Source organism: Homo sapiens, chromosome 7 (assembly GCF_000001405.40).
Source record: "Homo sapiens chromosome 7, GRCh38.p14 Primary Assembly".
NCBI classification, from domain to species: domain Eukaryota; kingdom Metazoa; phylum Chordata; class Mammalia; order Primates; family Hominidae; genus Homo; species Homo sapiens.
Window position 1 is genome coordinate 134,363,975 of NC_000007.14, and position 24,091 is coordinate 134,388,065.

The 24,091-nt window shown below is 42.4% G+C and overlaps 2 long non-coding RNA genes across 3 annotated transcripts, besides 1 other annotated feature; one reads left to right on the forward strand and one right to left on the reverse strand.

Annotated features, from left to right (window-relative positions):
• Nucleotides 1,503-2,702: an enhancer, noted in NCBI's record as "MED14-independent group 3 enhancer chr7:134050229-134051428 (GRCh37/hg19 assembly coordinates)". NCBI's record gives its function as "activates an origin of replication core promoter dependent on BRD2, BRD4, P300/CBP and CDK7 cofactors, and independent of MED14, by STARR-seq in HCT116 cells {active_cell/tissue: HCT116}" and the evidence as "EXISTENCE:reporter gene assay evidence [ECO:0000049][PMID:35650434]".
• LOC105375518 (uncharacterized) lies at nt 2,796-20,357 on the forward strand. Its single transcript, XR_928001.3, has 3 exons — nt 2,796-2,908; nt 15,375-15,489; nt 20,122-20,357. It is a non-coding gene; the product is annotated as an uncharacterized LOC105375518 (long non-coding RNA).
• On the reverse strand, nt 4,763-10,377 carry LOC105375517 (uncharacterized). Of its 2 annotated transcripts, XR_927999.4 has the most exons (5): nt 9,960-10,377; nt 9,088-9,166; nt 7,371-7,546; nt 6,741-6,944; nt 4,763-5,570 (listed from the first exon to the last, which is right to left on the reverse strand). It is a non-coding gene; the product is annotated as an uncharacterized LOC105375517 (long non-coding RNA). The 2 variants fall into 2 exon arrangements; XR_928000.4 differs by lacking the exon at nt 7,371-7,546.
• Nucleotides 20,358-24,091: the final 3,734 nt, after the last annotated feature.

The following is a 24,091-nucleotide window of genomic DNA, read 5'->3' on the forward strand; positions in this document are numbered from 1 at the left end:
CTGCCATACCATGTTCCTCTACCCAAGACCACAGCTTCTGGCCAGACCTGTCTGTCCCCTGGAGCTAGAGCTAGATCTCCATCTAGGTTTTAGGAACCGCTTCAGGTCTCAGGCAATAATGGCTCCCACCGTTGCTAGTTCTGAGGTCCTGCTCCATCCCTTGCTGGCTCCCTATACTCTGCCCACACCACTGTACATAGTCCCTGTAATGAATTGTCTTTGAACATCCCTTTGGAATGTGTCTGTTTCTTGCCATGATTCTGGTTGATAGAAAATAGAAGCTGCTGTGTTCAAATTGTCCTCTCTCCTAGGAATCTGTAATGGTCCCTTGTTGTTTAATAAGGCCAAGACTAAATTCATTTTAATAGCATAAAAATACAATTAAGAAAGTAAATCCATATTATGTGATTTACAGATTATCCTATTACTGCTCCAGGCAGCCATGTGCATAATGGAGATGTTAAGCCTGAGATTGGGCATGGGGGTCAGTGGGCGTGGCACACAGACATACCTCCATTGGCTTGATTTCAGCTGTCTCCTTCTGAACCAGGTAGGCACTTCCAGAACACCTCTCCTTCCCTTTCTTTTCCTTTTATCCTTTCTTTCATTTCTGTGCTCCACTTTTTCTTTTCCCTTCTGAAATCCAAAGGTAAACACAAGAGGAGAAGGCATGATCTTATGTGAAAGGCAAACATGGTGAACCACTGGAAAATTTCTTAGCCATTAAAGCCCAATAGTTCATTGGGCAGCTAACCTTCCAGAGGATGGCAGCAGCTGGTGACTCATGTGGACAACAGGAAGCCAAGACAGGGAGAAGGGTGGGGGATGCACAAGTTCCAGGGAGACTGTAGGTCTAATTCTGACTCAGTGCCCAACTGGCTTGACTGCACTCTCTCTCTTATCCCCAAGGTGAAGGGTCAGAGATTAAGACTCCATTTTCATGAACTAATGGCAACACCTTTTGCAAATATAGGTGTGCCACACTAATGGTGACTTGAAGTGATTTTAATAAATATTATTCATAGTGACATAGCACAAAAATGCTAATAGACTTTGAATAAGGAATGACAGCCAAGTCTGGCAGTAAAAGGTAGATTGAACATCCAGTCCAGTAAGATGGGTTAGCCCAATGAGATGGGATATCCAGTCCCATTTTATTTCATGTCACAAGCTTGGCTGAGCCCTCACCCCTCTTAGGGAGCCTCTAGGACTCTGGTGGAGGTGTCAGCTTTACTACACAAAGTCTGTACTTTGGCTATGGCTTGTTGCAGGCACTATTTCTTGCCAGGGGCTTTTGCTAGATCTTTTACTTCAAAGACCAGCTGAAGTCTCAATTCTCCTGTGAAGTTTTTCCCTTATCTCTGACTGGATGGGGTAGTAACTTTTACATAGCATTTAGACATAGGAAGAAAGAGAGAGTCACTCTAGGTTGTCTTTTCTTCCCCACAAATTTGCCTTTGGACTGAAATCATGTTTTATGTTTAAAGAATTCCCAACAATGCCAAGCTTAGGATGTTGTAATTCTACATATGAGTAGAATTAGAAAAATGTGAGAGTTGGAAGGGATTTCATCAGTGGCCTGGCCCCAAACACCTCAGTTTCCGGGTGAGAATGCTGATCCAGAAAGAAATAGACACAACCAAGTTAATTATGAAAGTTGCACTAGAACCCAGGTCGTTTGATGTCCAATTTTGTATTATTCCACGGCACTATAAAGCCTTCTGATGGCTTGGAAGCTGGCTGACCCTGAGATATTTGTCCCCACACATAAACTCAAAGGGTAAGTAGAGAGATGGTTGGGTCATGGAGGGATGAGTCACCATGAGCTAGACTCCTCGGAAGACTCCAGAACGTTCTCGGATCTGATAGCTCAACCTTAGGAAAGATGACAAGGCAAGGTACAGAACTGATTCATATGTGCTAGATAAACATCTGAAGACATTTCCCTTTTGTATCTGGAAAGCAGGGATGGCAGGTCTGAGATGTCAGCTCCCTGAACTTGGTTCCTTTTGCTCCCCAGGCTATGATGGGATTCTGGTCTCTATATTGTGGCTGGGCCCTTAAAAGCAGAAAGAATTCACTTCTTCTTGCAATGCTGATCCCTGGCAATGGGAATTCCCTACCTGAAGTTAGTGTTTAGATCTACTGTTTGAACTTAACTGCTTTATGAGGGATGCATTTCCTTCCTCTCTCCATGTTTTCCTGCTGCTAACCAGAGCCTTAAGCATTTGGCTTTGGCTTTCTTGCCATTTTTGCTGAGGTCTATTGCTTTCTAATCAGGAAAATTTTTTCAAGAAAATGACAGCTCCTCAGAGACCCACAATACCTCAGCTCTTCTGTGGTTCATGCAGACCTGAGCAGCAGAAACATACTGTAAACATAGATTGTGTTCTGTTCACTCAACAGACATGCATTCCTTGTGTACCATATGCCAGACCTGCAAAAGGCATGGAGGATATAGTTAGGGTGACACAGTTCCTGCCCTCAAGGAGCTTAGTACCTGGGGGAAAGACTGCCAATTACACTACAGTGTGATGAATGTTAAGGTGGGCATTCCAGAATGCTATGGGGGCATTAGGAGGGGAAGGTGGCCCACTCTTAGGATGGGTGCAGTGCAGTGGTCATACTTGCCAAAAGAAATCAGTCCAGGCAGGGGAAACTGCATGTACAAAGTCCTGGAGACCATCCTGAATACTCATTACGCAATGCCAACAAAGTTGTGTGATGTTGCTAGGCCATGAAGTTCAAGGGCAGAATAGCAAACTATGAGGCAGAGTCAGTAAGATGAGGCAAGCTCACACATAGCCTTGCAAACCACATGAAGGAGATTTAACTTTATCTCAATGACAGTGGGGGAAATCAGTGGAGGTGTTGGCATGGGTGTGATGTGATGTCACCAAGGTCCCAGGTGAGATGTCACATGAAGGTAATAACCATAATGATGATTATGATAATTATTAGTATTGGTGGTAACTGTAATGTGTGGAAGGAAAATGTCCCTGATTGAGGAGGTGAACTGAGACAAAAAAGGCCAGCTTCTAGGTTTATAACAGTATTGGAGTCTGTGATCATTTTCACTAGTAACCATTCTGGGAATTGTCCTAAAGAGAAAAGGCAAACAGAACTTCAGGCACAAAGATATTAATGAAAACATTATTTATATAAACAAAAATGTGGGAATATTCAAAATTTGCAATAAGAAAAGGAAGAGTAAATCAATGATATTACATGCCTAAAATGAAATACTAAGTAGCCATTGACATAGAGTCATCAGACTTTTTTAAAGACAAGGCAAGATGTTTATTATATAAATGAAAAAGTCACGATCTTACCTATGGGGGAAGTGTGTGTGTGTGTGTGTATGTGTGTGTTTGAATTACATTCTAGCTTTTATTTTACATTTTAAAATATTTTGTAATTTTATACCATGAAGATAAATTTCTTTTATCATAAAAAAAACTAGATGGGTGTGATGGCACATGTCCCGGCTACTTGGGAGGCTGAGGTGGGAGTATCACTCGAGCCCAGGAGTTCAAGGCTGCAGTGAGCTATGATTGTGCCACTGTACTCCAACCTGGGTGAAAGAGCAAGACCTCATCTCTAAAATAAAATAAAAATATATATTCATTGGAGTAAAAAATATTTTGATAACAATGACCATCATGAACTTCTTTACAATCACTCAGTTCTAAATCACATTGATGGGCTGAAGAGGAGGAGCAGATAGATATTCAGTAGAAAAGGGCTGGTATAGTTGTCCATACTGTTTACTTCTGCTTCCCTTCTGATTGGTCAATACCCTGTCATACTGTGGCTAAATATTTTGAATATCACCCCTGGAGAGGAATTTGTATTACGAGAAGCTTCATTTCCAAAGCAGCATCTTCCTAAGAATGTGTATGTAGTTTCGGCAGGAAAGGCATGGGTTCTAATGCCAGTCCTGCTTCTTACCTGCTGGGTGACCTTGGGCAGATGGTTTTAATCCTTCTGAGACTTATTTATGGAACGACAATAACCCCAGAACTAGTGTAGGGTGGTTGTGAGAATAAATGCATGTAGGTAAAAGCTCTGGCCCTAATGAGCACTCGATGACCTCATCTTTCTTCACAGTGTATCAGAGGTACCACATACTTCATTGGTGGTTAGTCTTGTAGTCATGGGATCTCCAAAAAACCCTTTCCCAACACTGAATTCACCAAGTATCTGTTATGTCTGCCTAGTCTTTCAGGCTACCAAAAAGCTGTTGAGTATTTCTCTAAGAATTGCTGGTTTCATCATTGCTTTCAATGGTTCTCCTGGGCTGGGCCATTGTTGACATGGAGCATTTATTTGTTGACTCAACTCAGGTGCAGAAACTTTCCATCAATACTCACCACCAGCACACCTACTGTGTGAACTTCTCAGGTGGTTTCTGACTGGGCGTGTGAAACACGTAAATATCCATGAAAACAGAACTTTCCTGAGAGTTTTCCATCAAAGTAAAACCAAAGCTACTTCTTAGTTTTCTTTCAGCCAGAGCAAGATTTTCTGGTGGGGTTGTGATACTGCAGGAGGCGATGTGTGCATGAAGTGTTGTGATGACTGAATCCATTAAAACAGAGAATTCCAGTGCTCACTGATGATCTAGCTCAAATTCCCCAAGATCTTGTATTACCAACAAGATTGGTTGTTCAGTTAGACAGAGCTCTTTTGTGTGTGTGCAATGGGAAGTTTCCTGTATTAACCTATATAATTAATTTGCAGACAAGAAAAACACTGCAAACATTGTTAAAAATGCATTTTATGTTCATTTTTTTTTTAATTTTTTAAATCGGGATTTGATCTTCAATGCTACCAAATCACCTCTAGTAAGACACAGGTCTGCAGTTAGTTTTTGAAGTGGATCCAGGATGGTGGTCTGAGGTTGCCTGTAAAGAATGAGGTTTTTCTGGCCTTTGGCCAAAGCAAAGTTAACTAACGGAAGGGATAAAAATTGTCTTGTGTGGGCCAAGCTGATGTTGCTCAATAGGTATTTTTTTGAATTGTGAGGAAAAGAGTTGCCTTATTTTTTCCACTTCTGGAATCATGAGAACCAGGGCTGGGAGTGAAGTTGCATGAGTCACAGCAGTGCATACAATTTTCATATTGACTTTCAGATGTCAACAATTCCTTTATCTGCATTATTTAACATTAACCAGGCACTGCCCAGACCTGCCCAAACCCTGTGTATGTAAGATGTTGCCCTTCTGCACCTGACAGCTTCCAACTCAGAGAGCTGAGGGAAAGGGGTCTCTGAGTCCTGGATATGTCCATCACCAAGCTGCTGAACAAAAGGCAGACACTAGGTGCCTTTGCACTTGGAGCCAAATCACTACTGGGATGTGGGATTCCTAGCCTGTGGCAGATTCTAATCTGGGAACTGGAAAGGGTCTTGTAGTAAGGAAAGGGCAGGCATTCGATGCAGGTGTCATGGGAGCAGAAGAGCTGGCTAGCAGCCTGACAACTGAGGAGGAAGGCAGAAAATCTAAACTCAGCACAATCTGTAATCCTGCATGGTGCAATCACTGACATCCAGTCCTGCTGGTTTCTCTCTGGAAGAAAGCAGAGAATTTTATAATGTGTTTCAGAAAGGTGTCAACATTCTCATCAATATCAAGGAAAAATTATTTTTCTATTTTTAGATGACTGGCAATTATCAGATCCTGGGAGAAGGACAAGGCAAGATGCCTGCCTGGGGAAGCTGGGCTTTTGTAGGAAGAAAAAGGAATTAAAAATGCAAGTTGGCTTCTGATAAGTGCCAAATAAATGATTTAGGGGGTAATTGCCTTGGAATTGAAAGAAATGAAAATAATTAGGGCTCCCCTAACCACCCGCTCCCAACATTGTATGACCAACTTCCTAGGGAGGGAAAATATATTTATTGGAAACATGATAGAACTGTCAGAAACCCAAGAAATCAATTACATAAATTGTGAAGCATAAGTCACAATGCTATTTGTTCTACAAGAGTGTAGAATTTGCAATTTTTCATTAAGATAGAAAATAAGAACGCACCACTGCTTCATCCAAGAGAATCATGCGCCCTCCCCGCCCCATGGTCCTCCTTGTTTCAATCATGCTATATCTGTGCAGGTGTTTTTGTTACTAACATTTGTCATTTGAGGTATATGAGAAGTCATTGGTCATCAGGTTAACTCAAGGGTGAATTTTATTTTTGCGTCTTCTGATAAGAACATTGGCTCTCATTTGTATTTAATGAGGCAATTAAACAGAGAAAATGGCCATGAGGAAAAGTAGATGATACGCCTCCATCAGGAGTCTACAATGTTGGCAGATCACTTTGTCAGAAATGTCAAGGACTGGCGTCATGAGTCTTGAAGGATTTAGGCAGGAAAAGAGACTAGGAAATTTTCCAGGGACTGTTATGAAAGACATGGAGGTGTGCATCAGGAAACACCTAGGGAAATAGTGTGACTCAAGCAGAGGTTTCTCTGTAGGGACTTGGGGGAAATTGATTTAGGGTGGTAGGTGACATGGTGGGGTACCAACGAGTTGTTATTGCTTTGAGAAAACATGCAGTCTTGGGTTCAGCTCCCTCAAAAGCAAACCTTGAGTGAGGAATTAGGTCCGAGTAGTTTACTGGGGCTGGGGAATGGGCAGGAGTGGGGAGAGGTGATTCCAGGAAGGATGAGAAGCAAGTGGGAGAGTGAGATGGGAGGTGGGAAAGCCAAGGAAGGGTGAGTGGATATGAGGATTATTACCATGAGCAACCAGGACTCAGTCCCATCAGGTCCTTGGAGAGACTTGAGGAACACATCTCAGGATTGTCCCACTGAGGTATGAGGAAGCTGAGGTTTTCATTCCAACTCCATCTCTTATTGGCTTGAAGGTCGCTCTTGGGGCTTTAACTCCCTGGCACTTCTAGTTGTCCCAGGAATGGATCCCAGTATGGGGCCAGAGGAAACCTGGTATGGGGCAGAGGGAAACAGGTGCTGGAGGTGACTACCATCACCCTCTATGGGAAATGTCGGCCAAGCTGCAGGTGACCTCCAGGTGGGCAGAGGAGATACGGGTGGGCCACCATCAACCTTCCGCCATGCGTTCTTCCTGCATCCAAGGAAATGTCTAAGAAGAAAACATTGGTTCTGGTATCCCCAGTGGCCCCTTTCTCCCTGCTTCTGTGCTCATGTGTTTCCCTTCCCATCCCACCCACCAGAACCCCTGATCCCTGTATCTTTCCAAGTAATTGGGTCAGGGTGAGGGCTCAAAGGAAGCTTTTGCTGTATACCAGGTGACCAAGCAAGGGATGTTTAATTATGGAATTTCAGCTGATTGAGAAATAGGTTTTGGGGGAGACAGAGACCAACCCAGAAGTTTGGAATCACAGTTACCTTCCAGGAATCTGCCAGATGTCAGGTAACTCACTGCCCTGGGGAAACTGGTGGGTTTTGTTCATGAACACATAGGACCATTTTATCTTCTAAAAGGCTGAAATCCGGGAGACATTCTCCTGTCGACATTCAGAATTGCCACAACTGTAAGCGACAGTGACTTTAGATGGGTATCTCTATAAATTGAGGATAAGAAAATAAGAAAGAAGCTTTAAAAATATTAATTGGAATAATTCCTTTCAACAGGAGATCTTTCTTGCTCTTACAAGAGCAGCAAAAGAGCCCAAACTATCACAGAAACCATCAAGCAAGGATGGAGTAAGTCATCCTACACCTGAAATTATGAAATTCTCTATTCTTGACGCATGCAGTTATCACCACGGCAACTGATTGTCATGGCCTAGTGCAGACAAGAATACAAACACAAAGAGAAGTGGCATGAGCGGATGAACTGCGATTCTGTCTCTATGCAAATAGTCTAAGTCAGAAAAATGAAAAGAAGAAAATCTCTTAACATGAAAGTAGAATTAGGTAGGAATTGATTTTTCCCCCTCAGCATTTCTTTTTACATAGATTATTTTTTAAGTGGATTTTTTTTTGTTTTGGTCTGGGGGGATGACAAGCCTGTTAGGGACTGGAATAATAAAAATCATAAATCCGGAAGGAGCTCAAGGGGTCACCTTGCTCAGCTTCTGGTTTTCAGGCAGAAGTGATCAGTAGCAATGATGTTCTGAAGGAGCCCGCGGGAAGGATGGTTCCAGTCTTTTTCAATATCCCAGCTTGCATGTTTTCACCTCTCCAATAGGACAGTCCCTTCTTACATCAATTGTGTATCTCTGTCCTGAATTTTAAGTCCGTGTTTTATATTCTGTTCTCACTGACACACTGAGCACAGCTGGGTACCATGCATGCTACACTCTGCATTCTCGGTAATATATCTACCCTGGGTACTCTGGCTTTCTGGTATTCCTGAATCAGTAGCATTGGTCCTACATGAAATGACTAAATAGAAGGGAGTGGGGAATAATTGGCTGGGGTGGAACTGCAGACTGCAAGTTGTCTCCCCAAATTCATGACATTTACTAAATTCCTAAATTTCTGCAAGCTGGAATATGGGCATGGCAGCAACTCAACTTCAGCCATCCACACCCAATGCCCTAAGAAATCATGGAGCAACAAGGTGGAAGGAACAGAGCTGCCCCTCCCACCTGGACAGCCCACCTTGGACCTGGTACTGAGAAAGAAACAAACTCTCCAACTGAAGGCAGCTGCACATTCAGTTTCTTGTTGGAGTAGCCTCTGTTGTACCCAAACAGTACTACGGCACTGGTGCTCAGCCCAGCCAAATAGGAGGGACTCCATGTCAAAGAGCCATTCCCAAGCCAATGATTCTCAATGTCTTTTTTTTTCCCACCATAATAGACATGATGAATGACATTTACATATTCAACAGTCTCATGGGCAGACTCAAATTTTGAAGAAACTGCCCCAAATCCTTTGGTCAAGTGAAGCCCCAGGCTAGCCCTGGTTGCCCACAAGTCTGATAGTCCCTTGCCAGGCTGCTCAGTGTAAGTGGAGGCTGGGGAAGCTGGGCTGGGGTTATGCACAGTTCCTGGCCCTCAGGCTGAAACATCCCCAGTTCTTTCCCACTCTAGAAGTAACAGCGATGTGCAACAGAGACTGCACATTTGGGTATTAAAATGTGTGAATCACTCACAAACTGGCAGGTCAAGACAGAACCATGGTGAGCGCTTTCCCTTGGCAGGTTGCATTGGTGCAGGGACTTGAGCAGAGCCCTAGGAGAGAAAGGAGAAAGGGCCTGAGGCACTGCTCCTTCTTGACGCCTAGTTTTTGTCCCATAGTAATATTTACACCACTTTCCAGACCCCGTTACACTTTATGTCATTGATTCTCACTGGTGGTTGTGTTTCTTAGAGAAGGAGAAGGAATTGGATCCCAAGTCCCCAAGGGCACCACCACTCTTGGGGGCTCCCTTGCAGGGGTGCCTGCCTGTGATACAGGCACTTGGCTGCTTTACTCCCCAACTCCACCCCTATGTGGTTTTTATCCCTGGCAAGCTGGCTGGGCCAGGACACCTGTCAATTATTTCATTTGTACCCTGAGCTTGTAAATCCCCAAAATTGGAGACAAGTCTTGTTTAATTTAGAAAGTTTATTTTGCCAAGGTTGAGGACGCGTGCCCATGACACAGCCTCAGGAGGTCCTGACGACATGTGCCCAAGGTGCTCAGAGCACAGTTTGGTTTTATACGTTTTAGGGAGACATGAGACATCAATCAATACATATAAGCTGAACACTGGTTCCATCTGGAAAAGGCGAGACAACTCGAAGCAAAGGCAGGACAACTCTAAGCGGGGAAGGGGCTTCCAGGTCATAGGTAGATAAGAGACAAATGGCTGCATTCTTTTGAGTTTCTGATTAGCCTCTCCAAAGGAGGCAATCACAAGCATTTATCCCAGTGAGCAGAGGGGTGACTTTGAATAAAATGGGAGGCAGGTTAGCCTTAAGCAGTTCCCAGCTTCACTTTACCCTTTAGCTTAGTGAATTTGGCACCCCAAGATTAATTTACCTTTCACAAGCTGTAGGCCTTGTTTGGAGCCAGGGGAAGGGTGTCACTGTCCCCTTTCCCTAAGGCACACACCATGGTCTTGGCCATCTGAGTAGTAGCACTCAGAACCTTTCTTCTGAGGGACTGAAGCAGATCTGGTCCCAGCTACACACTTGATGCATCTCCTACACAGGGCACTGGCCTGGTCCTTGAATGCTCCCAAAGGCAGGGTCCTTCTAGGAGGGGTAGCTCCAGATCTTATGGCACCAGGCATATGAAGAGGAGAAGAGAATAAGGCCATCTTAAAAAAGAAAACCCCCCAAAATCCAAGGTAGGAATAGCTCTAAGACAAGACCACACTAAGGAGAAGTTACTCCACTTAGAAAATAGGAATTTAAATCTTTTTAATCCTCCTCCTAAGAACTTCTTCCTGTAAGTCAGAGTCCAGCTTTTGACCCAATCAGTTATTCTCCCCAAACAGTGGGTGGAGTGGGTGTTGGAAAGAAAAAACCTTGAGCACCCGATAGAGGTTGAATGGGACACACTCTTAACAGCCCTATGAGGCAGCAAGGACTGTTTACTATCTCCATTCTACTATGAGGAAACTAAAGTCCAGAGAGGGTAAATGATTTGCCCAGGATCACATGACAGCTTAGAGGCAAAGCCAAGAATAGTTCAATCTACCTGACTCCCTCCCATTCATGCTTCTCCACTGCCTCAAGATGGCATACAGCTTCTGCATCCCCTTCTCAAATCTCCCACCCCAGAAACTTACCTGATTATTTACCCATACATACTGACATGTCCTGAAACATAAACCCACCTTCCTTGGTTAGAATTGCCCTGGAAGCAGAGCCTGGACGAGGACTTCAGTGTAGATGGCCTTTTGGGAGGAAATCCCAAGAAGCAGGAGTGAGGGAGTGAAGAGAGAGTGAGATGCAGAGGGAAGAAAAGCAATGGGATGTCATGGAGCTCATTACAGCTGTGGTAGCTGGGGCTTGGTCTCACCAGGCTCCTCTCTGAGGAACCCTGTAGGATGCTTCTTAGATTACCTCGCCAGCTGGGCATTTACCCTCTAACTCCTGTCCCCCACTGGTTGAAGATCGCCCACATAAGCTTCAATACTGCCCCTCCCACACTTCCAGACTGAGTAAGATCCACGAACTTCAGAAGTTGCCCCTAAGCAAGAAAGTGAAGGCATGGGGCGAGTGTCCAGCCAGTATATATCAGAATGGCCCAGCACAGCTGCACTGAAATCAGAGGTGGGCTGAAGGCAGGGCAAGAGAACCGCTTCACCACCCTTAAGACAGTTGGGGTCAAAAATGACATGGAAAGTGGGAATGACAGTGAGCGACTGGATGAATGAGATGCATGCGGGTGGCTGGGGAGGATGGACTGTGATGAGTGGTAGGAATCTTTTGCCTCCACCTAGGTTTTCTTCCAAAAAAAGCCCAGAATCTTGAGTCAGAAGATTGGCTCAAGTCCCAGCACTGCGGGGATCCATCTGTTTCACCTAGGACAACTAATTCTGTTTCTCTCACATACGTCACATGATGTTGTGAAGACCAACTGAGCTAATGTACACAAAGGGCTTTGTAGTGTGACCCGCTACACACAGGTGAGTTGCTGTTGTTGTTAGAGACTGTAGTGTAAGGGCTGCTTGGGCTGTAAAAATCTCATATCCTTTCCTTCAGTACAACCAGTACCTAACTTTTCCATTTCTAATACGTAATGCAATTTTAACCTACAATGTATCAATGCTCCTTGCCCCTGGTTCTGCTAACTTTCATTAATTTTTCTCATTTGTCTTCTGTTAAATTGCTTTAAACATGCTTGTTTCAAGCTCTTAGACTTCGCTGCTGGGAGTAGAATATGGTAGAATTCATATGAAGACCAAGTTGGCAATATCTATCAATATGATAAGTGCATTTATCCTGTGGGCCAGCAAAACCACTTCTGACAATTTATTTTTCCTGATTATCTGCACACACATGAGATACTTAAGTACAAAATTATTTATTGCAGTATTGTTTGTAATAGTGGGAGACTGGAAAGAGCCTGAGTGTTTACAATAGGGTATTTGTTAAATAAACCATGGTACATCCACACAGCAGAATCCCATGCAGTTGTTACAAAAAACACATCCCAAACCCCTGTATGTTCTAATACAGAAAGAGCTCTAGTTTATATTGCTAGATGATAAAGTAAGATGTAGACCACTATAAACCGTATGCTACCTTTTGTATATGGTAAGGAAAAAAACTGAATATAGGAGAAAATAATAAAAATGATTACCAGTAAGGGTTGAAAGCTGAGAAGTGGGGTGAGCAATGTCAGAGATGAGAGTGTGCCTGTTCAATGCATGGCTTTTTATTCATTTTGATATTTGAGCCAATGTATTGCCTACTCAATAATAATAGTAATAATAATAACAATAATAAAAAAAATAGTCCAGTTCCTGATTCTTTCACCAAATGAAAATGGGAAAACATAGCTGGGAGAGAGAAGCAGACTTGGTTTACCAGATGGCTGGTGGCAGAACTAAAATTCTAGTAACAAAGGGCTTGGGGAAATTCACAATTGCCGGATGTCTATATGCTCTAATGACTCTAGTGCTCTGCTGTTATTAGGAACTTTGAAACAAGGAATCAAAAAGTGCTCCAGTCAAGTTCACTAACTACGCAAATAGGGTGGGGAGAGATATGAAGGTTTCTTAACATTATTACCATGATTATTTATCAGGAGCTTTTGCATGATTTTCTCATTTGATCTCCCCAACAACACTGTGGGATATTATTATTATCATCATTGCCTCTTTTTTATAGATGAGAAAACTAATCTCAGAGAGGTTAGAAAACTTGCCTGAGGCTACAAAGAAAGTTGGCAGTGCTTCCAGGATTCAAAAATCAGGCTTATTTTGATTATGAGAGAAAAAAATAATCAGATATAAATCCAAATTATCCTACTCAGCTATTTGTTCAAAAACTGTTCAGTGAGCATCTAAGTGGCAGGCACTATATGAGAACCTTGCTATGTATCTAGCAGATTGACTTTCCTTAAATATAGAATTGATGCCTTTTGTAGTGTGTTTCTAGGGTTCTCTGTTTCCTGTTCTGTAGAAGGTATGGCAATCCTAGCCACTTGCAGTGTGAGAGGTGATCAAGGTTGACCCCTTTTATCACAGATTTTCACTCTATTGATGGTTGTTTAAGCCCTCCAAGAATGAGGAGAGACAGTAGAGTCCAGGTTACTGGCTCAGGTGCAGGTATCCTAAATTCTGCTACTTTGTGGCTTAATGAATGTCCTGTAGTCTGATCAATCAATCCTTGGGGAGGAGGAGCTAGTAAAAGTAGCAAAAAGAGGGCAGAGGTAGAAATGTGGTGGTTGGGGGGTAGAGGTATCCCCCTGTTATCCCCCCATCTTTCCCATTTACACACTCATATCTGAGCAATGTTTCCCTTGGACTGTCAGAGAAGTATAAATAATGAAATTCCCCAAATCTCAGTGAGAGAATAGACATAATTTTATATTTGTGTTAACAACCTAAAAGAAAGATTTCCAGCGTAACTGAAAGCTTTTGGTAAAATGTGATGCTGATAAGTATTGAACCTAAATGATACTTTTCAGGGATCTTTCTCAGGCTGTGCCTGAAAAAAATGGTTATAGAAGCTCTTTCACTTGTGTGAAGCCCACAGGACAAGAGGGTGACTTTTCCTGATGGCCCTTCTGTTCCAAAAAGGAAAAAAATACTGAGAAATTTGGGAAATCCACCACATCATATGACATCCATTCACAAAACAACTTACAGCACTCCAGAGTTTGTCAGTAAGAGGACCCAGAGCAGTGCCTGCCTATCTAGGACTTGTCTGAGAAACTTCCCATATAGTGCAGCTTTTTCAAGTCTGAAACACCAGATTTCCTTGGGTATGTTATTCCCAACATCCCTCTCACTCACGCTAGATCCAATTCCATCCGATCTGAACTGTTTCCCTAGTTTTATCTTCCTTGAAAGGTACTGAGCTCAGAGAATTAAGAGTCACAGGGAAGGCCAGGTGTGGTAGCTCACGCCTGTAATCCTAGCAATTTGGGAGGCTGAGGTGGGCGGATCACGAGGTCAGGAGTTTGAGACCAGCCTGACCAACATGGTGAAAACCACGTCACTACTAAAAATACAAAAATTAGCCAGGCATGGTGGCGTGCACCTGTAATCCCAGCTACTCAGAAGCCTGAGGCAGGAGAATCACTTGAATCCGGGAGGCAGATGTTGTAGTGAGCCCAGATCACGCCACTGCACTCCAGCCTGGGTGACAGAGCTAGACTCCGTCTCAAAAAAAAAAGAGTCACAGGGAAGACAATGGTCAAGATGGACATTTGTCCAAGCTGGGAGACTTAACAATAAGCGAAAGGCAGCTCATTTCAAATCCACCAAGACAAGAGCCATAATTAAGTAATTCTAATTCCCAATTCCTATTCATGTTACGAAAGGCCTTATAGTTCTCTTCACCCTCTACCCAGCAGGGCAGGTAATGCCCTTCAAAACTTTGCCACTTAAGCACCCAGTCCTCCTCTCTGTTAGGACACATGGGTGATGATGTTACTGGTGGAGGGTGTCCAGGTTCTTGGCATGTTGAACAAAGAATTGGACAAAACACACCAACAAAGCAAGGAAAGAATTAAGCAACAAAAGCCGAGATTTATTGAAAATGAAAGTGCACTCCACAGTGTGGGAGCTAGCCGAGCATAGGGGCTCAATGGCCGCCATACAGGATCTTCTCGGGTCCAAATGCCCCCTAGAGGTTTCCTATTGGCCACCTGGTGTTCACCCCATGTAAATGAAGTGGCGGCCCGCAATCAGTCTGATTGGTTGCAGAACCAATCAGAGGCTGAAGTGAAATTACAAAGGTCACACTCCTATGCAAACATCTGATTGGTTGTGGGAAGCAACCAATCAGAGGCTAAAGTGAAGTTTCAAAGTTGTCATTCTATGCAAACGAAGACTTGCCTCTCAATCAGTCTGATTGGTTGTGGGCAGCCACCATCAGAGGGTGAAGTGAAGTTACAAAGGTATGCTCCTATCCAAACGTCTGATTGGTTGCTTTTTGCAACCAATTAGAGGTACTTTCAATTTCCCATCTGCCATGCAGAAAAGGTGGGGGTTTGCAAAGGTTGTAGCCTCTGATCCTTTTGTTACTTAGACATGGAAAGTTAGGGTTTTCCTTTCAATTTAGTTCTATGAAGTTAGTGTGAGATGGCCTTAGGTTCCCTGCCTCCAGACCCTATTCTCCTGCCTCAATGACACATCCCTGCTCACTTTGCAGTTAGGCAGATCATGTGATTAGTGCTGGCCAATGGAATATCAGGAATGACATAACAGGAATGACACTCCTGATATGTCACTGGGGTGAGAAGCTCCAACCCTCTCTTCTCTTGTCATAGTGTTCATGGAAGCCTGTGTTGAGAGAGCCACAGAGCAAAGTATCTGGGACCACTGAGTCACCATATGGAGGAGAGCTACCTGGAACATTCAGGGTGGACTTCGTATAAGTGAGAGGTAAATGTTTGCTGTTAAGCCTCTGACTCACTCATGCTGTTACTGCAGCATCTTCTAGCTTATCCTAGCAGGTCCGGTGTGTGCATTTAGTTTGCTATATCTACTGTCAATTCTAACAATGATCTAGAATCACACTAAATCACAGAAGTTAAAAGCTCAGCCATCGTCTCACAGCATTCTCAAGGAATAACCAAAGTATCTATTACCATCATTCATAACTATTCAGACAAGGCAGAGAGGAAGACATGAATTCCCATTTGAATTAGTGGCATCTCTGTTGGTGGAAATAAAAGAAAATACTGATTTCAGCAAATCTGAGGAATAAACAACCTCATTTCATTGTGCCATAAATTAAATATTTTATGGCCGGGCATGCAGTGGCTCACGCCTGTAATCCCAACACTTTGGGAGGCCGAGGTGGGCAGATCACTTGAGGTCAGAAGTTCAAGACCAGCATGGCCAACATGGTGAAACCCTGTCTCTACTAAAATTACAAAAATTAGCCAGGTGTGGTGGTGCCCGCCTGTACCCGGGAGGCACCACTGCACTGCAGCCTGGGTGATAGAGCGAAATTCTATCTCAAAAAATAAAGAAAAGAACAAAACAAATGAAAAAAAAGTTTTGTTTTGTTTAGCAATAGGCTAATGAAATAAGATTTTAAAAGACTATAAGTCTTAAGTGAAAGCATGCGGTAATTTTTGAATCATTCCTCCCCCTTCTGTTTCTTCCACCTTCTCAGTGTATAGTGTGTTACAAGGGTCTTCTATCCCCAACTCAAGAAGGTGGGACTGCGGATCAGTTGGGATGTATTGGCTGCAAGTAGCAAAACTCCACAACCCAAAGTAGTTTGAAAAATAAAATGGAATTATCTCACATTACTTAAAGTCTGGAGGGCCTGTGAGGCTCAAGGTTGGCTCATCTCAGATTATCTTCCAGGCTGATAGTGACATGGTGCAGCAGTTCCACATGTCACATCCAGATGGAATAAGGTCCAGAAGAAGAAGAGAGGCTGTCTCATCTTCGGTTTCTCACTTAAGGAAAGGAAGCCTTTCTCAGAAGCATTTGTCATGGCCAGAAAGGGTCACCTGCCCAATCCCAAAGTGATCTGTGTTGAGAAAGATTAAATGGCTGTGATTGGTTCAGAACCATTAGCACAGGTGTAAGACGATGAGCATTTGGGTGGCATGGATGCTGTGGAGTCTATCCTGGACTTTATTCCTATTTCCATTGTCTGTAGTCAAGCTCCTCACACACTTATTCCTAGATTTTGTAAAAACTTCTCATCTGCCTGCTCTGGTTCTTGCTGTTTTTTTCCAGTCCACTGTGTAAACCTTTCCAGACAAAGGTTCTTAAAACCTTCTTCTCATGTGGTCACATCCCTATCCAATTATCTTAAATATGTCTTTTTTTTCCTCTTTTTGAGATAGAGTCTCACTTCATCGCCCAGGCTGGAGTGCAGTGGCATTATCTCTGCTCACCACAACTTCTGCCTCCTGGGTTCAAGTGATTCTCATGCCAGCCTCCCAAGTAGCTGGGATTACAGGTGCCTGCCACCATGCCCAGCTAATTTTTGTATTTTTAGTAAAGACAGTGTTTTGCCATGTTGGCCAGTCTGGTCTCTAACTCTTGGCCTTAAGTGATCCCCCAAGCTTGGCCTCCCAAAGTGCTGGGATTATGGGCATGAGCCAACACAGCTGAAATTAAATATGTCCCTCTTAACTTTGACTTTAGGTTCTGCACGTTTTTCTAGACGCAGTTTTTTCACATTGACCTGATCCTTCACCAATATGCAGCCCACACTCTATAAATGGCTCGCCATACTGCCTCCCACACCCAACACATTAATTCCTGTTGTTTCTCTCATCTTGTGTCTCTTACTCCATCTTCTCTGCAGGCCAAACCCTTCCCTTTATTAGACATTCACTTCAAACGCACTTTCTTCTTCTGCTGCTGCTTTTTTTTTTTTTTTTGAAACAGGATCTCACTCTGTTGCCCAGACTGGAGTGCATTGGCGTGATCTCAGGTCACTGCAGCCTCAACCTCCCAGGCTCAAGCCATCCTCCCGCCTCAGCCTCCCAAGTAGCTGGGACTACAGGCACACACTACCACGCCCAGCTAACTTTCACTGTTTGTAGAGGTGGTGACTCACTATGGTGCCCAGGCTGGTCTCGAACTCCTGGATTCAAGTGATCATCCCGCCTCAGCCTCCCAAAGTACTGGGATTACAGGTGTGAACCACCGCGCATGGCTATACTTTCTTCATGAAGGCTTTCTGTCATCAGCCAACTATCTCTCTCCTCATTGAATTCTTATTTCCTGTCTAGCCAATACCATCACTGTGAACCTTAGCAGTGTCAAGCTGCTCTCCCCAAATAAACGGGATATGTCTTGATAGTAGAGAGTATGAATTATGCTTCATTTCCATCCCATACCAGTCTTTTTCTCCATACCATTCTTACACAATATTTGGCACACGCTAATGATCGACTAGTCAATCAGCAAACAATGACTGAGTCCCATGCCTCCTGTTCTTACTGTGACTTCAGCACACATGAAGTCAAACAGATGGAATCAAATGCTGACCCTATTGAAAAAATTTTGTATTAGTTGTGCACATTTTGATACTCATAAGAAACAGAAAAGTCCCCTATGAGTAAGTTCAGCTCAGAAACGGGACTCAGAGTTGAATTTGGTATCTGAATGTTCCTATTCCACTTCTAATAACTCAAATCTGTACACTTGTTTAGAAGGCTATGCTTTGGGGATTGCACTCTAAAATAAATGCAGATGGTTGATAAGCATTTGGTTTAGCCTCTTAAACAAGAGTTCCAGTCATGCATATGTTCTCATGAAGGTACCATCCTTTGTGTAGAAAAAAGACTTGGCCTTCAATTATTTTTGTTTATTAAATGGGCAAATGTCTGTGGAGACATTCATGTCCACATGTCTGTTTCCCTTTTGTTCAGTAATATGCATTTGCTGGCTAGCCAGGCTGAACTAGAAGCACCATTGCCCAGAGAGAAGGAAGGTAGCCCCTAGAGGAATCAGATTGCTATCCTGTGCTTTGTGCATGAACCCCTATAGGACCCTTGGATATTGGACTGCTTCTTTTGTGTGTGACCATGTGATGAGAATTAACACATAATTCTGTGTCCCAGCTTTATTGCTGAGGTCCATAATGAGCCAGTATAATTAAGCACCATTTGCCTGGTTAGTTAGTTCAGGTGTCTAAATCTGTCACAATAAAGTATGTGACGTTAAACATGTTTGGATTAGAACCTTCTGGAGCCAATGCCAATGCAGACAGCTATATTAATCACATGGGAGGTTATCTTATTTGAGATTTTCTTTGCACCTCTGAGTTACAGTGTTTCATCCATCAAGGGCTTGCTGAAGACATCTGTAAACTTTGATTTATTGCACTGTTTCTGGTACAGAATTAAATAGCATTATACTCAAATATATTGGCTTAATTGACAGGTAGAGATTTAATCCTGTTAATTACGTAGCCTGCTTGAAAGCTTCTATTAACCCCTTGCTGAATTGGCAGGATTCAGAAGAGGTATCTCAGCACCTATTTTGAGCTCAGGTAAAGCCATCATTGTCCTTCTTCAAAAAGTTTATTCTCACTAGCACCAAATCATGAGTGAACATGAATACCCATGAGACAAGTGTGTCATCTAGAACTGTCTCCTGTCTGACTCCATACAGCCTACCTCTTGGGTAAATGGTGTCAGAAGGTTTACAGTCAGCGTCTCTCCTGGTTTGGGGCTTTTTATGTTAGTATTTAATGTGCTAACAGGTGTGAAAGTTGTTCATTTACTTATTCAACACACTTTTATTGAGCACTTACTATGTTCAGGAACTTTGCTGGGCTAGAAAAAACTAAAATATATGTACGGTTGAGACCTTCAAGGAACTTACACCATATAGGATACTCATGAATGACAATAATCTATGCCGTTATAGTAATGCATGTTAATAGGTTTCTCATACCAGAAAACACAGGTGCAGTTAAACTTTATCTTTCTAGAAAGAGTACAAGGGATGCTGATACAGCTTCTATGTTTGTCCCTCCAAGCTACATGTTGGAATTTGATCCCCAGTGTTGGAAGTGGGACCTAATGGGAGGTATTTCGGTTGTGGGGGTGGATCCCTTGTAAATGGCTTAGCACTGTGCTGGCTCTAATGGGTGAGTTCTTGTTCTGTTAGTTCTCAGAAGATCTGCCTGCACCCCCTCCCCTCTCTCTTCGTTCCTTCCTTACCACGTGATGCCTGCTCCCCTTGTCCTCCCACCATGAATGGAAGCTTCCTGAAGCCCTTACTAGGAGCAGATGCTGGCACCTGCTTCTTATACAGCCTGCAGAATCAGGAGCCAAATAATCCTCTTTTCTTTATAAATCGCTCAGGCCTTCCTTTATAACAACACAAACAGACTAAGACAGGTGCTAATGTAGAAATTGCAAACATGGTGGCAAAAAAGTGTGGGAAACATTTGAGGGAGGCAGATTCTCTTGGGGCTTTTCAACTCGCCCCTCACAAAGCAGTCATAGTCTCCGTGAACATGGCAGGACTCACCCCTGGCCCCCCTGCCACCCACCCCACTATCTGATAGTTTTCTCTATTCCTCAGGTCAACAGATGTCCTCTCTGTTCCTGGTCACCGTGCTAGGTGTGGAGGACACAGAGAGGGAGAAGACCTCTCTGCCTTCTTGGAGCTCACAAGCCGGTAGAAAACTTCTAAGCAGGAAAGTAAAATGATCAGGGTTTTAAAACTCAATCCATCTAATGATCAATCTGGTGGCACAGTGAAGGATTTATTGGTGTGTGTCTCACTTGAATCACTTTTAAATAAATTTAAAAATCCACCTTTTCCACACTCTAAGAATACTTTGTGGGCTGAGGTCCTGAAAGTCATGTCATTAAAAAATTTTTTTATTTTGTTGTGATTTCACATTTACAAAAAAGTTACAAGATATACAAATAACATCTATGTAACCTTTTCTGAGATTTACCAATTGTTAACACAGTTGTTGATATTTTGTCTCGTTTGCTCATCTATCAATCTTCTATGTACACACACACTCATTCACTGAACCGTCTGATAGTAGTTTGCAGACATCATGCCTTTATTCCTATTCACAAATATTCCAATGTCTATTTCCTAAAAACAAGAACTTTCTCTTCTATAACAACAATAAACATCAAAATCAGGAAATGTAATAATGTATCAAATACTATAATTTAACCCAATTTTGCTAATTATGCTAATAATTAATCATGACATTTTTAAAAACTGACCTAAAAATGATATCTGATTCTATGCACAAAACTTTCAACTATAAATCATCACTGCAGCAGAAATTAATCTTTACACAGGCTCACCTCATTTCATTGTGCCTTGTTTTATTGTGTTCCACAGATACTGCATTGTTTATAAATTGAAGGTTTGTGCCTATGCTATGTTAGGCAAGTCAGTCGGCGCCAGTTTTCCAGCAGCATGTGCTCACTTTGGGTCTCCATATAATATTTTAATAATTCTCAAAATGTTTCAAACTTTTTCCATTATTATTAGATCTGTGAGGGTGATTTGTGATGAGTGATCTTTGGTGTCACTATGGTAATTGTTTTAGGTGCCATGGACTGTGCCCATGTAAGACAGCAAACTTAACTGATAAATGTGTGTGTTCTGACTGCTCCACTGACCGGCTGTTCCCTGACTCTCTCTCTCTCTCCTCAGGCCTTCCTATTCCCTGAGACACAACAATATTCAAATGAGGCCATTTAATAACTCCACAATAGTTTCTAAGTGTTCAAGTGAAAGCAAGATCGCACATCTCTTACTTTAAGTCGAAAGTGAGGAATGATTAAGCTTAGTGAGGAAGGCATGTCGAAAGCCAAGATTGGCTAAAAGCTAGGCCTCTTGGCTGGGTGTAGTGGCTCACACCTGTAATCCCAGCAGTTTGGGAGGCCGAGGCGGGTGGATCACAAGATCAAGAGATTGAGACCATCCTGGCCAACATGGTGAAACCCTGTCTGTACTAAAAATACAAAAATTAGCTGGGCATGGTGGCACATGCCAGTAATCCCAGTTATTCGGGAGGCTGAGGTAGGAGAATCGCTTGTACCAGGGAGTCAAAGGTTGCAGTGAGCCAAGATCATGCCACTGCACTCCAGCCTGGGTGACAGAGTGAGACTCTGTCTCAAAAAAGAAAGAAAAAAAAAAGAGCTAGGCCTCTTGTACCAAATAACTAGCCAAATTATGAATGCAAAGGAAAATTTTTGGAGGAATTTGTAAGTGCTACTCCAGTAAACACACAAATGGCAAGAAAGTGAAACAGCCTTATTGTTGAGAGGGAGAAAGTTTGAGTGGTTTGCATAGATGATCAAACCAGCCACAACATTTCTTTAAGCCAAAACCGAATCCAGAGCAAGGCCCTAACTCTTTTCAATTCTATGATGGCTGATAGAGGTGAGGAAGCTGCAGAAGAAAACTTTCAAGATAGCAGAGGTTGGTTCATGAGGTTTGAGAAAAGAAGCCGTCTCCATAACATAAAAGTGCAAGGTGAAACAGCAAGTGCTGACCTAGAAGCTACAGCAAGTGATCCAGGAGATCTAGCTAAGATCATTAATGGAGGTGACTACACTAAACAACAGAGTTTCAATGCAGGTGAAACAGCCTTCTATTGGAAGAAGATGTCATCTAGGACTTTCATGACTAGAGACAAGGAGTCAATCCCTACCTTCAGACTTACAAAAAAATAGGCTGACTCTTTCGTCGGGCACTAATTCAGGTGCTGACTTTAGTTGAAGTTGAAGCCAGTGCTCACTGACCATTCTGAAAATCCTAGGACCCTTAAGAATTATGCTAAATCTACTCTGCCTGTGCTCTATAGTGAAGCAACAAGGTCTGGATGATATCATGTATGTTTATAGCATGGTTTACTGAATATTTTAAGCCCACTGTTGAGACCTACTGCTCAGGAAAAAAAAAAAGATTCTTTTCAATATTACTGCTCATTGACAATGCAGCTAGTCACCCGAGAGCTCTGATTAAAATGCAGAAAGGCATTAATGTTGTTTTCATGCCCGCTAACACAACAGGCATTCTGCAGCCCATGGATTGAGAAGTCATTTTCACTTTCAAATTTTATTCTTTAAGAAACACATTTCATAAGGCTGTAGTTGGCATAGATAGTATTTCTTTAATGGATCTGGGCAAAGTAAATTAAAAACCTTCTGGAAAGGATTCACCATTCTAGCTACCATTAAGAGCACTTGTAATTCACAGGAGGAGGTCAAAAAGGTCAACATAAACAAGAATTTGCAAGAATTTGATTCCAACTTCGAGAGATTCAAGACTTCAATGAAGGAAGTCACTGCAGATGTAGTGGAAATAGCAAATGAACTAGAATTAGAAGTGGAGCCTAAAAAAGTGATTGAAATGCTGCAATCTCATAATAAAATTTGAATGGATGAAGAGTTGCTTTTTATGAATGAGCAATGAAAGCAATTTCTTGAGATGGAATCTACTCCTGGTGAACTATTAGGTTGGTCCAAAAGTAATTGCGGTTTTTGCCATTACTTTTATGGCAAAAACAACAATTACTTTTGGACCAACCTAATGGAAACATTGTGAGCACTGTTGAAATGACCACAAAGGATTTAGAATATTCATAAACTTATTTGATCAAACAATGGCAGGGTTTGAGAAGACTGATTTCAATTCTGAAAGAAGTTCTACGATTGGTAAAATGCTGTCAAACAGCACAACATGCTAGAGAGCAATCTTTCATGACAGAAAGAGCAAATCAATGCAGCAAACTTCATCGTTGGCTTATTTTAAGAAATTGCCACAAACATCCCAATTTACAGCAACCACCACGCTTTTCAGTCAGCAGCCATCGACATCTAGGTAAGACCTTCCAGAGCAAAAAGATTATGACTCACAGAAGGCTCAGATGATTCTTGACATTTTTTAGCAATAAAGTATTTTAATTAACGTATGTACAGTTTTTAGATACAATGTTATTGTGCACTTAACGGACTACAGTATAGTGCAAACATAACATTTATATGCATGCACAGGGAAGCCAAACAATTTGTGTGACTTGCTTTATTGTGATATTTGCTTTCTTATCGTAGTCTGGAACAGAACCTACAAAATCTCCAAGGTATGCCTGTAGCAATAAATTTTTTTAGATTTTCCATAAAAATAAAAGAATAGAATTTAAAAATTCTTGTAGAACTCATGGACTTCTGAATTCATATTTGAGACAAATTGTTGGAAACCAAGGTCGAGACAGGAGGAGCTCTGTTCATCATGTATGTGTGGATTGTCTTTTACTGTTCACATTAGTCAGAGAATCAGAAAGTCAAGCAGTGGTGAAATCAAAGCTCCCATCTCTGTTCAGCAACATTAAATACAAAATTCCTGAAAAAACTAGGAATTAGGGTAGGAGTTATGCACATTAACTCACAAGCACAACACAGAGCTGAAAAGGGAATCTGACCAGCACCCAATTGGTTAAAAGCCTAAGGCCAAGGATACTCTCATGCCCTGTCTTTCAGCAGGCACAAATAATAAACAGAAAGAAAGAGAG